The sequence below is a fragment of the Homo sapiens genome, chromosome 3, assembly GCF_000001405.40.
Source record: "Homo sapiens chromosome 3, GRCh38.p14 Primary Assembly".
Classification (NCBI taxonomy): domain Eukaryota; kingdom Metazoa; phylum Chordata; class Mammalia; order Primates; family Hominidae; genus Homo; species Homo sapiens.
In genome coordinates this window covers 25,696,562-25,698,719 of record NC_000003.12, presented here as the reverse complement: position 1 = coordinate 25,698,719, position 2,158 = coordinate 25,696,562, and positions in this window count along the sequence as shown.

Below are 2,158 nucleotides of genomic sequence, written 5' to 3'. Positions count from 1 at the left end.
ACACATGCACACGTATGTTTATTGTAGCACTGTTCACAATAGCAAAGACTTGGAACCAACCCAAATGTCCAACAATGATAGACTGGATTAAGCAAATGTGGCACATATACACCATGGAATACTATGCAGCCATAAAAAATGATGAGTTCATGTCCTTTGTAGGGACATGGATGAAATTGGAAATCATCATTCTCAGTAAACTATCGCAAGAACAAAAAAACAAACACCACATATTCTCACTCATAGGTGGGAATTGAATAATGGGAACACATGGACACAGGAGGGGGAACATCACACTCTGGGGACTGTTGTGGAGTGGGGGGAGGTGGGAGGGATAGCATTGGGAGATATACCTAATGCTAGATGACATGTTAGAGGGTGCAGTGCACCAGCATGTCATATGTATACATATGTAACTAACCTGCAGATTGTGCACATGTACCCTAAAACTTAAAGTATAATTTTAAAAAAAAATGAATTGGTAGAGACAGTTCCTAGGGTGCTCTGATGTATCACATCCTCTCAATTACCCCAGTTGATAACCATTGCTGTTATTTCTTTACCTAGGTTTTAGGTCCCTAAATATTAGCTGATAAGAGAGTCTCCTTGTCTCTTAACTTAATTTTTATAAGTACTCCTGGAGATGTGCACAGCTTGCTGATCAGTGACTGAAAATGAGGGAAATGAAGAAAATCTGAATGTTTCTGGCTAATATTGGATGATTCTGGATAATTAACTTCTGAATAATTGAGTGTAATATACATATTTCTTTTGATTCATAGTTAGAAGCTTTTTTAGCTTTTCTGATTGCACACTCTATATTTTCTAATTGTAGGCTGAGTGTCAAATTGCCCATATTCCAAAGACTGGAAAGAAATGTGGGAAGTTAGCTTACGTTTCAAACTTATTTAAAATGTGCATAATTTTTTAAGCTATGTAGACTATTTTTACCAATAAGCTAAGTTTAACATTTCTCTCACTGTGCTGGAATGATGCTGCTACTGTAAAATGCTATTGTGTAGATTGGAAATTTAGAGAGTAATTATATGTTCAAAGGGCTTCAAGCCAAGTTCTACTTCATGTTTCTTAAGAGCTTTGCCTCCAGCCAGTGTGGTAATACTAGGAGAAGTTACTCATTCTTAAGTACAAGACACCTGTAGCAGAATCTGCAAAGACCCAAAAATAGTTACTAAACGAGCTATTCCCTGCTGAAGTGGCATCAGTAGAGATAGATGATTTAATAGGTGAAAGATGCAGGGACCTCTTTTATATGCTTGATGGTGGGAATTATCTTTAAAATCTTTTAAGGATTATTTTTACACAAGGAGCACTGTAGAAGCTTTTTCCTGGTTTATTTTAGTACTATCAAGGCTGTTACTTGAATTAGAAAATGTCAGAAGAATGATTGTAGACTGTTCATTTGATTGTACCAAACAATGAAGGGCATTAAGTGTGGTAATCTGAGGCACATTCAGTAAAGATTTTTGGAAAAGTTACATATTACAGTGGTTTTCCTCCTCCTCATCTTCCTCATTATTCCCCCTTCTGTTCATTCTCCTCTTCCTCCTCCTCCTCCCCCATCCCTCCTCTTCCTTTTCTTCTTAAAAATGAATTGGTAGTTCTGACATTCGTATATATAGACTCTAATTTACCAGTGGGCTATGTTCCATAAATATGTTTGAGGTCAGTTAGCTGACATAACAGAAAGACCAAGGACACTGAAGTACGCCAGAGTTGGCTGAATCCTGGCTCTATTATTTCTTAGCTGGGTTGAGTCGCTTTACCTTTCTGAGTCTCTTTTTGCATGTGTAGAAAAAGAATATCTTCCTTACTGAGTTGTTATGAAGATTAAAGAGAATATATATAAAACCCAAAGCACAGTGCTGTGGACGTTGTAAGTATTCAATTTATAACAGTAATAGACTATAAGTAGTAGATACAGCTATAGTTGTCAGAACTAAGAATTAACAGCAGAAATGTAGGTGACTACACTATGTGTTAAATGAGTTTTTGCGGAGCAGCCGAGAAAATCAATCTTAATTAAAACTAAGGTGAAGAAAAATTTTTATAACGTTCAACTCTGAAAAAAACAAAGACACTTAAGGCCAAATTTTTAAAATTTTATAATGAAATTAGCTTTAGCCTATGAGCAAGAATA